Source organism: Homo sapiens, chromosome 18, assembly GCF_000001405.40.
Source record: "Homo sapiens chromosome 18, GRCh38.p14 Primary Assembly".
Taxonomy (NCBI): domain Eukaryota; kingdom Metazoa; phylum Chordata; class Mammalia; order Primates; family Hominidae; genus Homo; species Homo sapiens.
The window spans coordinates 60,285,691-60,302,068 of NC_000018.10; the positions used below are offsets into that span (position 1 = coordinate 60,285,691).

The following is a 16,378-nucleotide window of genomic DNA, read 5'->3' on the forward strand; positions in this document are numbered from 1 at the left end:
ATATTTTTATGTAGTAATATGCCAATAAAGAGTTCTGCAAATATCCCTATAAGTATGTATCCAAAATAATGTCTACTTCTCATAGTCTAATGCTTGCAGATTATTGCAATTTTGATCATTTTTTGCTATTTTGATGCATAGCCTGTAATTTTCTATTAAATATTTGAGCAAATCTATATATCTCAGAATCCCAGAAACATTGTAAAGAGTTCAAAGCTGGAGGCTATTCACAAAAGAGGAATCTGTGATTTCAAGTTTTTGAATTATTTTATGGAAATTTGATATGCTCACTACGGTACAATATAAAAGATGAGAAGTAAGTTTATGTGGAGAGATCAAGACATCAGTTTTGGCCTTAAATGATTGAATTGATTTCCTGGGTTCCATTCCTTCGTTTCATTTCTCACTAGTGCTATTTGTAGACACTACAGGTGTGAATAAGATGGTCCATTCTTATTTAAGGAGGGTGTAGAAGACCTGCCTGTAACAGAGACTAAAAAAACTGAAGAAGAACCAGGAAATAGTAGTGGTATAGGATCTGAGTAAGGAAAAAAATCAATAAAAAGAATGTGATAAAGGGTGACAAGTATTGTAGAAAAGTTGAGGAAGATAAGGGCTGAAATATACTGTCAATGCAGAGGTTTTACTGATGATGGCCATGCTTCTCAAATGGTTTAAAGGATGAGAAGGAAGCTGAAAAATGGGACAGCAAGTATAGGCTGCTCTTTCTAGAAGCTTGTCTGTTAATAGATTCACATTTTACTATGCCAGAAGATTAAAGGAGAAGTTTTGCTTAATCTCCTTTTAACAATAAAGGTAACAAATATATAAAAATGGTGAAATAGAATTAAAAACTCCTATATTCTTGTTAATTAGTATTACTCTTTTATATTTAAATAGTACTTTTTAACGCTGGGATGATAGCTTTGCCAACTTAGGAAAATTCTTCTATATCTTTTAATATTGCTCCTTCTCTATTTTCTCTTTCGTCTTCCCTAAGACTCCAATTATATGTATGTTAGGATTTTCCTTATGTCTCATAAGTGTATAAGAAATCTGAAGGTCTGGCTGCCTAGTAGCACTTATATGGAAGTCAGAAGTGGTGGCTATGACTTACATCTTAAGACTGTTAAGATTTGTCATGGCAAAGAATGCATGTGTGTTTCCCTGGAACAAGATAAACAGGAGGAAAAGCGTAGGGTAATATTAAATCATATTACATTAATATGCCTGGAATGATTACAAAATCCTTTGAGAGAAAGAAGGTACTGGTTTCTCAGGGAATGAGAAAAGAGGCAAAGGTCACCAGCTAGAAAGGTGTATTTGCCTGCACTGAAGAAACCAGAGTAAAAAAGCTATAGGAAACTATAAATGGAGAAAACAAACCCTAAAATAGTATTTTATGAGACTTCTTTAAACACTAACCAAGACCTGGGTGAGCTTATTTCATTTCATAGCCATGTTTGTAAGTACAAATTTTTTGGCTTCTTGTCTGTATCTTGCCTCCTCTGATCCTACACGTAGTAGAAAATGCAATAGCAGAGGGAGAAGAAGACAGTAAAAGTGCAAGGTGAAAGAAAAAAGCTCACCCAAATCATCTACACATACCACTAGTGGCCAGAGAGATTCTATAATTTAAATTAATTTTGAATATTTTAATTATTGAAGAGGCCATATAAATTATTAAACTGCACTCTTTTGAGAATAGAAGTAAAAGTATCACTTTTTATTACTTAACAATAATGAGAAAAGTCATAGACCTTGCCCTGAATTTCATCCAAGTAGCAGGAAAGTCTGCACAAATAAAATCAATTTTAAGGTACTTTGCTAGATGAAAATAAGGTTACATTATAAGTTATTCCATGATCATGCTTATTCAACTAAATCATTACACATTTCATCAATATCAACTAAAGTATATGGAAAGGCCATCCTTTTGTATCCACTAAAAATATCTGAGTTTATCTGAAATGGAAAATAATTATATAAATTAGTATATATTTCAGGTAATAAATATCTTTTATTTTCTGTTTTCTTCAAAAATTTCAAGTTAAAATATATGCTACTTTATTTAAAAATGGCAAGAACTTTTATTCATAATGTACTTTTTTAGTATTTCTATTTTGTACTACAGAGAGGGTTTTTGCAAAATTACTTATCAAAAGAATTTTTTATAACAGCATTTGTAGCAAATGAAGTGTAAGGCATTGATGCAATATCTCAGTTTTAGAGACCCGTCACAGCTACGTGCTTCGGTTTGCTGTGCCATTTTTTCCAAATGTCCATTTCTAAGTGTATATCTGAAATCTATCCTAATTAAAAGTGATGTTTATAGCATGAACTTTTTGAGAATATTAAAATTTTAAATGCCATCGAAATATCCATTATGTATTTTTAGTTTTGTATATCTTATGAATCAGGCTGCTGTGGATATCAGCAGTTAGTTAAATATACTCTGTCAGATCATAACACCCCTATGTATCACCCATGACAGCACAGCATGATTTAATAATAATGGCACGATTAAAAAATGAGGAATCACTTGGAAAAAAAAGCCTTTAGTATGATTTTATTGCTTGGATAATCCAGACTCCCAATTTGCACTTTTATATCAGTAAATTCTATTAGTGATAAATCAAAATTTTTAAGTTTTTCAAAACTTTATTTTCTCTAATTATAAGATTAAGATGAATCACTGAGTTATTTTCCTTATATCTACAGGTATATATATTTATGGTTAAGTGTCTTATTTGCATTTTTCTTCATTTCTACTTTCTCTCATATCTATGCCACCGAATTCTTGACTTTTATAAATGCATGCTTGCAAGTTCATGTCTGCTTTATAGCCTATAAAAATAAGGACAGTCACATTTCAATCGTATTCTCCTTTCAGATCTTTTTTGAGGTTTGGCATTTCCATTGAATTTTGTGAACCATTTGGCAACCATTGCTTAAACACACTCCCTTTTGTTTGCTTCATTCTTAGCCGAGTAGTAAAACTCCAACGATGATGATGATGATTATTATTATTTTTTTTTTGAGACGGAGTCTTGCTCTGTCGCCCAGGCTGGGGTGCAGTGGCGCCATCTCTGCTCACTGCAAGATCCGCCTCCTGGGTTCACGCCATTCTCCTGCTTCAGCCTCCTGAGTAGCTGGGACTACAGGCGCCCACCACCATGCCTGGCTAATTTTTTGTATTTTTTGGTAGAGACGGGGTTTCACCGTGTTAGTCAGGATGGTCTCGATCTCCTGACCTCGTGATCCGCCCGCCTTGGCCTCCCAAAGTGCTGGGATTACAGGCGTGAATCACCGCGCCTGGCCCCAAAGATTATATAATGAGGATTTCTAGATCTCATCTCATTCCTTGCATTTCAGAACCTTTTATTTGGCTGTCACACATTACAGAATGCATGGCTGTATGTACAGGAATACACAAATAAAAAAGCTTAAAACATATTCCCTTAAAGTTTATTACCCAGAAAGAAACATTGCTCTTGTTTACATCATCTGTGTATCTACCTGTCAATTAATCAATCCATCTTTCTTTGGACATTTGTGCAGAGAAATAAACATAGAAATAGATGGGTAGATAAAAATGCTTTTATAAATATGGTTTTATACTGAAAACACCATTCCTAAATAAAAGGTAGTGTTTATTTTTACCTACATTTCACACAAAAAGAAGTAAAACCTGAAGGAATTATGTAATTTAATAAGTATTTCTTAATCACAAGACATATTATTTCTTAAAAGATCCTTGTAAAACTAAGAAAAAATATTATGAGAAACTTAAGAGGTAGAAACATTATTTTTCATGTCTCATTTTTAGACAGTTTTGATTTTTCTTGCTGTATAAAGTAGGGCACTAATATTTACCCACTTTTCTATTTCTTTTTTTCCTCACTTCCCTTTTCAATATTTCTATCAATATTTTGCATTGTATCATTATATGAGTTTGCTGTTCTTTAACCACCATTCCCATGTTGTTTAGTGTGTGCTATTTAAACAGACTCAGTACTCACTATCAGTTCTTTTGCCACAGCTTTTCCAATATCAAATTCTTTGTTGATTAGCACAAGTTTATCCTACCTTCACCCCCCTCCTCAAAGAGGATCAGAGTTACCATTTATTCTTCGCTTTTTCAAGTTGTCACATTTCTTAAATTATATCTTGACTCGCCGTAAACTGTTGGGTCATTCTTTCTGTGTCTCCCCATCCCTACTCTAAAGTTGTAGACATTGTTCAATTGCCTTCTGACAGTTATAATGTTTGGAGAAATGATTTCTCCAAGAAGGGAGATTGTTTCCTCTTATGGATTTGATATTTGTGTCTAGAAGACATGTTTTGTTTATCTTTAAAGTTTGACAGTGACTAGAATACATATTTTTATTGAGCATTTGTATTAAATTTTTATTTAATTTTAATTTTAAATTAAAAATTTATTTCCTCTTTTCTGCAAATACAGATTTTTCTTTATTTCAGGGAAATTTTCTTATGTCCTCAAATTATTCTTTTTTATTTGTTCAATTGTCTGTCTTAAAATCATGTCTCCAAATGTTGTTTTTGCTTTTTGCTTTTTAAAATCAGTCTTGTATATATTTTAATTTCCTTCGAATTGGCTTTTTAAAACACTTCTGGATTTTAGTTATCATTTTGATGTGTTTCCATATGTGCAATGCCACTTGTTTTCATTTTGTTCATGTTTTGGGAGCTCTGCACAGACATTCTCTTGCCATGAAGTAGAGTAAGTGAATTAATCGTTCTTTTCCAACTGTATCTAAAGTGATTTCTTTTTCTCCTCTGAGCTGTTACTTGAGGGCTGCAATATTATATATTTTCGTGGCCTGAAGGAATGGTGTGGAGAGTTAGAGAGTTTAGAAGCAAAGACTTCCACCTATGTTAGGCCATCTAGGAGCCATAGTCTCTTCTGATATTTTTCTTAAATTTTGGGTACCAGAATTCGTACTTCTTAGGAATGAGTGTGTTGCATTTCAATGATAGACGTGCCCCTTATATGGCACATATTGCTGAAACTGCTGCTTCCTTCAGAAAAAGCCTTTCCACTGATCACTTTCCAACAACCTCACCTCCTTCCCACATCATTGTTTATATCCTTCCTTGGGCTGAAGGAATAAAAGATGAACAAAGTACTCAATTTGCCTCCCTCCGGCTTTGGGTGTAGGACTGGGTGTTTTCAGGATTGCCATCTCCTTAGAAGAAGATACGAAGTCTGGAGCCCGGGTGAGGAGCTGAAAGCTCCACCTGCCTCTCAGTTCTGCCATAGAGTCTTCTGTATTCTCTGGTTTCCAGGCTGTACAGTCTACCATACTGGTTATCGCATACTCATTGTTGATGATGGCTGTGTTTGTCAACTTGACTAAGTCTGGGAACCACAGTGCTAAGAATTACCTTCTGTGTTTTGGCTCAGAGTTGGCCAAGAGAGGAATTTGGGTGAGATGTAGAAGGGATATGGGAAGCGGAAGCCATTCCTCCCCTCTGCTAACGTGCGGCCTGTGTACCCAGATGCTGGCCTTGCAGACCAGTGGTACAGTCTCTCCAGCCGGCACCTGACTTGACCCTCAGAGGTGGTAGTCGTACAAAGGCATGGAGCTGACCATTTCATAGACCTTTCCATGTCATTCTACCTTGGTGGCTTCCTGGTTTTCCCAGCAAGCTCTCACTTTTCTGTTGCCAATTTGGCCAGCTGGTGAGTTACTTTTTTTTTTTTTTTTTTTTTAAATCTTCTGGTTCCCCCATATTTTTGTAATGTGTATTCCTCCCATAATCACTGTATTCACATAACATGTCTAGTGGCTCTAAATTCCTGACTAAACCCTATGAATACACTGTTGATTTTTCCCCTTTTTGACGTGTGCGTGTGTGTGTGTGTATAATTTTTTAGTTATTTGTTATTTAGGAATAGAAAATTTGATAATTTTTCTTCATTAACTCAAAATATATTTTTTGGATGTTTTTAACTGTGAATCTATTCTTTTGATTTTTTTCAGAAGGTGGTAACCTTTTTCAGTCAGCAACCATAGCTGCTTCTTTACCTCAAGTCATTTTTTTCCTAACACAATCTTTAGTACTTTGCTTATATATTCTACTTATTTACTCACCCATTAAACTGCATCAGATACTACCCTATGACCTTCATATCGATCACCCTTTTTCTCTGCATTTTCATTTATGTCCTCATTTGAATTCTGACAACTTAAGCTGATGTTTACCACATCACTGATTTTATTTTCAAAACCTGAATGATTGCCTTTATTGTCTCCTTTTAATTGTGGTATTTATTTACTCTGTTAAGTTTTTATATCTCTTCCTATGATTTTTCACTTTAGCTTGGTGTCTAGTTATGGCATTCTGCTTCAATTCTGTTGGGTCATTTTTTTCCCCAACACTATTGAGAATATCAAATGATGTCCTGAATATTTTCTTCTATATTCTTTAGTAGATCATTGTTAACATACACTTATTCTTGAATTCTCTCAGAAGCTGTTTCTTTTCCTTTGTTCTAGATTACATAATTGAGAAGAAAAGCTGGGTGACTGTTCCTGATTCTCTGTTAATTTGTATCATGGTTGAGGCTGGATCTTAGATATAACGCTGGAGCACAGGTTGATATGCATGAATCCCTTTCTAATTCCTGCCAAATGCACCAGCTGCACTAAAGTACTCTTATATCTAATGTAATTGTTAAAAGCAGGGTTTTGGAATCGGGCCCCAGGGATTTGAATCCTAGGTCTCTTATTGAGTTTGTGTATTATAATAGCGCCTACATCAAATGGCGGCTACTGTGAAGAGTAAATGAATTAATTCAGACAGAGTACTTAGAACAGTATCTGAAACAGTAATAACTTAATCAGTATTATCTGTCAGTTACATCCTCTTCCTTATAAGTAACGTAGTGATTTCCTCCTACCACCATATGATTCTTAAATACTTTAAACAGTTGAAGTCCAGGTAAAATCACAGCTCTCAGCATTGAAGATTCTTTCACTGTTTATTTTTATCTAGCATTTTAAATTTACTGATAAAAATAAAATGTTTGTTTTCTATTGCTCACAATCCTGTTTTCTGAGAGCTGTTTTAACATAGAGATTTTACTTCTTAAACGTGGTTATATACTGTCTAACTTCTGTTGACTTTGTGTAGTATAATAGAACCTACAACAAATGGCTACGACTGTGAGGAGTAAATGAATTAATTCATACAGAGTACTTAGAACAGTATCTGAAACAGTAATAACTTAATCAATATTATCTGTCAATTACATCCTTTTCCTTATAAGTAATGTAATTATTTCATCAATGCCTGTGAGTAGAGGAAATGATTGTCAATTTTCTAGTTGGTATGGAACATAAAATTTTAGCCAGGGGCTAGGCTTTGGTTGAAGAATCATGTCTTTCCATTGTTTTGAAAAATGTGATCTTATTTTCACAATTTGAAGCCTAGGTATGCTTTTTTCAACCCATTTATAGTACAAAGTTTGCTGTCTGTCTTGGTTGCTGCTGGTTGTGAGTTTTGTCTTTTTTTGAGTTTTCATGAATCTTAGATTTTTAATTTGGGGGGCTGCTGCACTAGGGTGCTGCTGGTTAGATGCCATTTATTATCAACTGCCTGGGTTGCTAATTTAATAAGAATTTCAGGAGGTGTTGTGAATAATTGAAATTCTACCAGTATGTAATAAAACAAAGAAAAAAATCAGTATTGTAATACATGTATCCAAGAACTTCATTATATTAGATACTATGATGTATAGATTGCTTCAAATAAGGTCTGCTTTTTTCCTCACAGTACATATTTAATACGAAATGTATTTAATAATTGATATTTAGATACTGGTGTTTAGTAGATGGCTATTTTTGGCTAAAAGAAATCATTATATCATATAACATTATAACCATTCTCTTTCTTCTCATACTATCTCCTTACCTAATTGTGGTTGTTGTTTATCTCCTAATCAGTGGTGGTTTGTCTATTCTTTATTTTTCATTTGTTTTAAATAACCAGGTAACTCCTGCACATTTCTATTAAATTGTTCAATAAATATTATAAATAGACAAGTTCACTAATGAAACACAAATATGAAAAGAACAATAGTTCTATTTTAACTCACACATTTGAGGTGAGAATTTTAAAATATACTTTCAGCAACTTTCAAGTATATAATACATTGTTAGTAACTATAGTCACCACGTTGTGCAGTAGATCTCTTGAACTTATTCCTCCTGTCTAACTGAAATTTTGTATACTTGACCATCATCTCCCAATCCTGCTGCCCCTGGTAACAGCCCTTCTACTCTGTTTTTATAAGCTCAATTTTTTTAGTTGTTTTTTTTTTTTTTTTTTTTTTTTGAGACGGAGTTTTGCTCCGTCGCCCAGGCTGTAGTGCAGCGGCGCCATCTTGGCTCACTGCAAGCTCCGCCTCCCGGGTCCACGCCATTCTGCCTCAACCTTCCGAGTAGTTGGAGCTACAGGCGTCCGCCACCACGCCCGGCTAATTTTTTTGGATTTTTAGTGGAGACGGGGTTTCACTGTGTTAGCTAGGATGGTCTCGATCTCCTGACCTCGTCATCTGCCCGCCTCGGCCTCCCAAAGTACTGGGATTACAGGTGTGAGCCACTGTGCCCGCCAACATTTTTAGATTCTACGCATAAGCGAGAAGATGTGATTTTTGTCTTCTGTGTCTGGCTTCTTTTATTAAACATAATGTCCTCCAGGGGCATTCATGTTGTCACAGATGACAGAATTTCCTGGGTTTTTAAAGCATAAATAGTATGTCATTGTGTATATATATGTTACATTTTTCTTATGCATTCGTCGGTTGATGGACGCTTAGTTGATGCCATATTTTGAGTGTCTTGAGTAATACTGCCATGAACAGCGGGAGTGCAGATATCTTTTTGACATACGAATTTCATTTTTTTTTTTTTTGGCTATGCATCCAGTAATAGCAGAATTGTTGGATCCTATGGTAGTTATATTTTTAGTTTTTTGAAAAGTATTCATACTGTTTTCCCTAATGGCTGTACTAATTTACATTCCCACCAACAGTACACAAGGGTTCCCTTTTCTCCACATCCTCATCAACACTTTTATTTTGGTCTTTATCATAATAGCCATTAGAGAATGATAATTAGGTTTTAAACCTTACCCATTGCATGCAAAATTGTAAACCAACTATTAAATATATTTTATATATTTTTTGGGTAGTTCTTCAAATCTAATCAATAACCATGTATAAATTGTGAACTACCTCCCTTTCTAAAAGCTCAAGTTAGCATATTTTAAGTAATATTTACTGATAACAACTCAAGATTTAGCTTGCTGCATTGAAGAAGAAAATCCAAACTAGAAACAGGGCCTATCAGTTGAAAACACAAAGCAAAGAAATAAACAAATTAGTGTTGATTAATGATAATATTTGTAGTATAACATAGGCTAAAACACTGGGTAGTTCAGGACAATTTTCTTTGAAGGTCTGCAAAAAGAAAAATCAATTTTCTAAGACAAATCTGTTGAAAACTGAGCTTCCATGTCTAAATTGAAGTAGGCAATGATTTTTTCTTTTTACTTTCAAATTGCTCTAGGCATTTCTAGAGTGGCAAAAAAATACATACTAATTTCACCTTTTTGGATTAAAAGTAAACACTATTAAATGAATGCAATTTTGGTAATTTATAAATATTTTACTAGAAATTCATTTATAATTTACCTATTTTATAAACTTTTTTATGTCTTTAAAGTCGTATCTTATGAAATTTAGATAAGAGGATGAAGAATGGGAAAAGACGGTGAGTTATAAAAAAGGGAGAGAAGGCAAAATGTGAGATAGGCAGAGAAGAATAAATCATGAAAAAAAGAGGAGAGACAAGAAGGAAAAGAAAGGACTCTTTCCCCAGAAGTAAGGACTAGAGAAAAAGCCATCAGGAGCCAATCTAGCTTCTTTCCTCCACTGTTGCTGTGTCAACTGTAATTGACTGATATTTTTCAGGCTGGCTTGCAGACCTTAGAGGTTGTAGCCATTATTCTTTCCTGAATACTCATTACATAGGCTCCTGTGCAGCCTCTTCCCTTCAGGGCTGCACTGACGAAGCTTCCTCAGTGTCAAAGCTTCTAAGCTTTCTAAATGAGAGACTTCTGTTCTAATCACATTAGCTATCAGATGTTCTCACCAGTGTTAATTCTCACCTGGAACAAAGTCCTTCTCTGTCTTTGTTACTCATGTTGTCTCATTTGGAGTAAATTGAAAGTGTGGCTAACTGTAAATCAGTAACCTGTGCCTCTCTCCGTGGAGTGTTTTGTTCTCTTCAGTGCTATTCTGCTTCCCGATTCTGCCACCTCAGGGATTCTTCACAGTTGCCTGGTACGCAATACCTAAACACTTAAGTAACATTCTCTGTCTTTGAAATACTCAGAATATGTCTAGCTTGGATGCCTTTTAGAGATTCTACTTAAAGAGACCATCGATTTTTTAAATATACATTTAGAATATCTCAGAGATAAGTTTCAAAGCATTTACATATGTGCATTGTTCATAATAAAATAGATTTGTAATTTATTGGCAAAGTATGATATAGATTCACAAACAGTATAATAATATCATGCCAGTATAAGAAAAAGATTAGCTAAGTGCTGCAAAACAAAAATAGCATTATGAGAAAAATATAAAGTGGAATTCTTAACTTGATTTTTGAAACTGTGGCCAAGCTGCTAATATTGTTTTATTTGCCTTGGGACAATTAAAGAGTGTTTATGTCATACCCTCATTCAGTTCACCTGTATAGCTTCTAAAAAACCAGATGAATTGTGGTAGATGACGATGAAGTACAATAAACGTAAGTAATAATTCCAGTTCCTACTGAGCTGGATGTAGTATTAGAGATTTAATACAGATTTCTTCCTGTCTTGAATATGTATGTGGCACATAATAAAATGGAGAGGCAAAGCTAACATTAATATCTGGTGATTAGTTTAACTTTCTAGTTCATTTGTTGAGTGCCTGTGCTAGGTACATGGAATCCAGGGTGAATATGGAATGGTTTTTATGCCACTAAGTAGCTCACAGGAAAGTGGTGAGGAAACAGAAATGAACAACAACTTATATCAAACTAATATGCTCTGTGTTTTCCAAACAGTAAAATATCAAGACATTTACTATATTTATATATGTCTGTACTGTCACAGATCTCTTAGTTTAATGGGTGGTCCATTACCTTATCTTTAGGAAACAACCTTGCTTATATGTAGGTCTCAGTTATTCAAATCATGTAGACCATGGTCCCTGCTCTCAAGATACCCTAAAGGAAAAAGAAAGTAGAACAGAGACTATAGAACAAAATGCCTGTATCATCATAAACTCTCTGATTACTTTCCATTTGTAAACTAAGCTATCATAATAGTTTTCTATGGAATTAAAAACTTTATGTATGTAAAGCACTTTGACATGTGTCTTCCATGGAAAAGCAGGTAAGAAATGGTAGCTGTTATTATTTTAAGTGGATATAAATGCCACAGTAGCACAGAAGAGAGAAACTTGTAAATCAGCTGTTGGGAAATTGTGGAAGACTGCAAGGAGGAGAATTTGCATGGCCAAGTTTGCTCTACCAATTAGAAAATGAAAACAAAAAGTGCAAAGGACCTTCTTGGTAGATAGAAGCAGTATGTGGTAGAGAGCAGCAAGGACCCATGGCATTTTAGAGAAATCGTGAGTGGCTTATATGGCTGGAGAGATGGAGCAATTGGGAGTTGGAGACAATTGGCGAGGGATCCTTTTGGATAGTTAGGCATTGGCTGGGCAGTTTGAACTCACCTAAGAAATGTGACTGATTGAAGGCATGGATTTTAGAGTGAGAATGATCGGGCTTAAAACCCAACTCAAACCTCACCAGCTGTGTGATGTTTGGAAGCTGTATCCACTCTCTAAATTGCAGTTTTTAATCTGTTAAATAGACACAATAATATTGCTTAACTCACAGGATAGTTGAAAAGATACATGAGATAAGGTAATATAACAAATGTGTACTACATCACAGTTGTATCATTTGTTGAATGTTTATTATTAGCCTAAAAGTTATCAAAATCCACAGAAAGATTTAAGCAGGGGAGAGAGATGATCTTATTTTAATTATAGGGGGTTCCTTGGATGAGCATGGAGATAATGGATTGTGGTTAAAGAGTTGCAGAGTTTGAATATAGGGAAAGAAGCTGAGATGGCTTTTGTAGGGTGAGAAATGAGGAAGCAAAGTCATAACTATAGATATGAGGAGGTGGGAAGATAAAGGGATTTTAAGAAGGTCAAGGCCATAAATTTAGTGGCTAATTCAATAGGGAAAGTGTCTGAGTGAGAAGGAGAAATGGAAGCTTATTCATGTGTTTGACTTGGCTGACCAAAATAGGTTTTGGAGTCTTTCACTGATGTGGAAGATATATTAGAAAGTTCAGGAACAAAGTAAGTTGAGGAGGGGAGAGCCAGGGGATATTCAATAAGAAATCTGCAATAATTACTTGGAAGCAGGTGGTCCTAGTTCATTTTCTGTTGCTTACAACAGAATACCTGAAACTGGGTAACTTATAAGTAAAGAAAAGTTATTTCTTACAGTTACGAAAGCTGGGAAGTCCCAGATCAAGTAGCTGCATCTGATTAGAGCTTTTTTGCTGGTGAGGACTCTGCAGGGTCCTGAGTCAGTAAAGGGTATCCTATGGAGAGAGGCCTGAGCATGGTAGCTCAGGTCTCTCTCCCTCTTTTTATAAACCTGTCAGTTCCCCTCTTTGATAATCCATTAATGCATTAGCTCATTAATACATTAATTCATGAATGGGTTAATGTATTCACGGGAGCAGAACCCTCATGATCCAACCACATTTTAGAGGCCCTTACCTCTCAATAATGCCACATTGGGGATTAAGTTTCAAAATATGGTGAAGGAGACATTCAAACCATAGAAGAAGCATAGATTTAGCAATAAAAGGAGTTTCTAAATAGAGGTAAAAAATATGAATCAGCATGTAAAGGAGAGTTAAAGCCTTGGAAGAAAATGAATTTACTCAGGAAGAATAGAGAGATGGGAAAAGGTGAAGACAGGGCCAGGTGTGAAAACCATCAGTGAGAGTGTAAGCAGAGAAAATCCTTTGAATGAATCTGGGCAGGAATGGCTTGAGAGGTAGGAGAAAAGCAGGCTACAGTAATACTGCAAAAGCATGATGAATTTTTCAAAATGGTTAAGTGAAATTCAAATGCTCAGAAAAGTGTAGGAAGGTAAAGTATCAGAATTTTTTGCTGTGGGAAAGAGAAAACACAATTCAAATGAATACACAAAAATCGAATTTTATCTCATGTGACAAGTAGAATGAAAATTGCTCTGGGTTTGGTTTACTTAGTGGGACTGTACAAAGTGATGATAAAATCATAATTGTTCCTACAATAAAAGTCTTCCCACTTAGGCTGGCTCATCTTGTAATCCTACAATGCTTGCCATAATTCCACATAGCACATACAAACCTTGAAACTTCCAGAGACAGAAGGAGGAGTATTATCTTTCCCTGCCCAGCAGACTTTCTCTTACACTTTCTGGTAGGCAGAGTAATGCCCCCCACTGACGTATCCACATCCTAATTCTTGGAACCTGTAAATGAATTATGTTGTGTGCAAAGCTGAATTAAGGTTGCGGCTAAGATTAAGATTGCTAATCAACTGACCTTAGATTCAGAGTTTATCCTGGATTATCCAGGTGGACCAAGTGTATCACAAATGACCTTAAGAGGAAGGCAGAAAAGGGAGAACCAGAGTTTTTGCAATGTGAAAATGATGTGGTCCTATATTGCTTGTTGTGAAGATAGAAGGATGGGGCAGGCATGAGACAAAGAATGCAGGCAGCCTCTAGAAGGTTAAAAATAGCAAGCAAATGGATTCTCTCCCAGAATCTCCAGCAGGAATGCAACCTTGCTGGCATCTACATTTTAGCCCAGTGAGACCCATTTTGGACTTCTGACCTCCCAAACTGTAAGATGATGTTGTGTTGTTTTAAGGCAGTTTGTGATAATGTGTTACAGCATCAGTCCCCAGCTTTTTGACACCAGGGACGGGTTTCATGGAAGACAATTTTTCCATGGACCAGGACAGAGGGAAGAGGGGGATGGTATTGGGATGATTCAAGTGCATTACATTTATGGTGCACTTTATTTCTATCATTATTACATTGTAATATCTAATGAAATGATTATACAATTCACCATAATGTAGAATCAGTGGGATCCCTGAGCTCATTTTTCTTGCAACTAGACAGTCCCATCTGGGGGTGCCAGGACACAGTGACATATCATCACGCATTAGATTCTCAGAAGGAGTGCGTAACCTAGATTCCTCTCATGCACAGTTCACAATAGGGTTTGTGCTCCAATGAGAATCTAATGCCGCGGCTGATCTGACAGGAGAGGGAGCTCAGGTGGTAATGCTTGGTACCTGTGGCAGTGATGGTACAGGTGATAATGCTCAATACGGATCTGTGGCCTGGGGGTTGGGGACCCCTGTGTTACAGTAACTACAGAAAATGAACATACACCCCCATTGGCAAGAGTTGCATTGTGGGCCCAAGCCTAAAGTATTCACTTCCAAGGGGAATTGAATTTCCTAGACAGGCTGAGGCTGTTGTGAAGCATATGGTCCCCTGATTCCTGAAAAAGTCTTGGGGATGGGAGGGAAAGGCTGTTGGATAGGCAACAAACTATCATATTCAGGGAAGGATGGATTATTTATCTATTAAATTTGACAGTTTGGAGGCCAATAATGATATATAGAGAGGAAATTCAGTGGGCAATAGGAAATTGGTGGCTGACAAAATAAATATTTTAAAGTAACTTGTACATAAATAAAAGGCAATATAGAACCCTAACCATTTATATAGAAATACAATTGTTTTATATTTTCTTTTAATATGGGTGATAATGGAAATCTTTTTATGTAGAAAGAGCCAGAGCCAGATGGCAACAGGAGTGAGAAAGGTAGAAGATGAATGATTGAGGATGAAAATTCCCTCAAGAGATTTTATTTGACCAAGTATGTCCACATTGTTGCTTAAAAGCATATGTTTACTTCCTGTAAGAAATCTGTAAAAATCATTTTAGAGTATGAATAACAATCGTCTTACATGTTTATTTTACAAATTTTGATTTTCTCTGTAATGGTAATTCATAAAACATAGGTACTAATATTTCACAATTCATTTATTTATATAATAATTCTACTTGTACCTAGCATCAATTCAATGAAAGCTGTGATTAAGAGGTTTCACACGGATGGAGCTGGAAGCCATTATCCTCAGCAAACTAACACAGGAACAGAAAACCAAATAGCGCATCTTCTCACTTACAAGTGGGAGCTGAACAACGAGAACACATGGACACAGGGAGGGAAAAAGCACACACCGGGGACTCTCAGGGGAGGGCAGGGGAAGGAAGAGCATCATGATAAACAGCTAATGCATGCATGGCTTAATACCTAGGGGATGTGTTGATAGGTGCAGCCAACTACCATGGCACACGTTTACCTATGTAACAAACCTGCACATCCTGCACATGTACCCCGAACTTAAATTTAATTAAAAAATAAAAAAGAAAAAAGTTTCAAATTATAGTGTTAGCTAGAACTGGTGACGTCTTCCTAAATACAGCTTGAAACTTCATAAAGGAGCTCTCCTGAGATTTCTTACCATGGAATATCTTCCATTTGAAATCTCCCCTAATAGGATATTTTCATACTTCAGAAATTCACTCTCTTGGGTTCATTTCAAGAGGGGCTTTATATTGATGACTGTCTCTCTGGGATAGCAACAGAAGGATAATTGGGTAGAGTGACCAGCCTGGTTACAATCCTACATCTATGATTATATGACTCCTGTTCTGTTCTTTAGCATCATTTTAAACCAGTTTCTTGAATTCAACTTTTCTTTTGGAATGCGTGAGGCAGATTTTCCCTGGGTTATTGTTCCATGTTTATTTATACAACAACCACAGAGTTAGAGGAGAACAAATGCCCATAGGAAGAAGCTGACGATTATTGCCGTGGCAGATAAAAACTCCCTGCTATTTATTATAATCGAGCAGAAGAAAGCGAATAGTGGAGGCAGAAAGTTTGTTATCGATTGCACAGCAACCCTACTATATTCCTTTTATCAGCTCTTCTCAGTAATCTCCAAAACTCCTTTCAACACAATCTTCTCTATTGTCAGATTTCCTTGCCTATTAGTCAGGCTCACTCTCAGCAGCTGATGTACTTTCTTATTTTATGCAGATTATAGAGTCCAAAAAAAGTAAGTTCTGTAATTTTCCACCTAGATATAAGAACTTAACTCTCACCATTCATTCTTTTCTT

General features: G+C 35.7%; 1 long non-coding RNA gene across 2 annotated transcripts; it reads left to right on the forward strand.

Annotated features, from left to right (window-relative positions):
• Positions 1–8,445: 8,445 nt before the first annotated feature.
• On the forward strand, positions 8,446–15,627 carry LOC105372155 (uncharacterized). 2 transcript variants are annotated; one of them, NR_188056.1, is made up of 3 exons: positions 8,446–8,983; positions 14,973–15,064; positions 15,263–15,627. It is a non-coding gene; the product is annotated as an uncharacterized LOC105372155 (long non-coding RNA). The 2 variants fall into 2 exon arrangements; NR_188057.1 differs by having other exon boundaries at positions 8,446–8,621.
• The last annotated feature ends 751 nt before the right edge of the window (positions 15,628–16,378 follow it).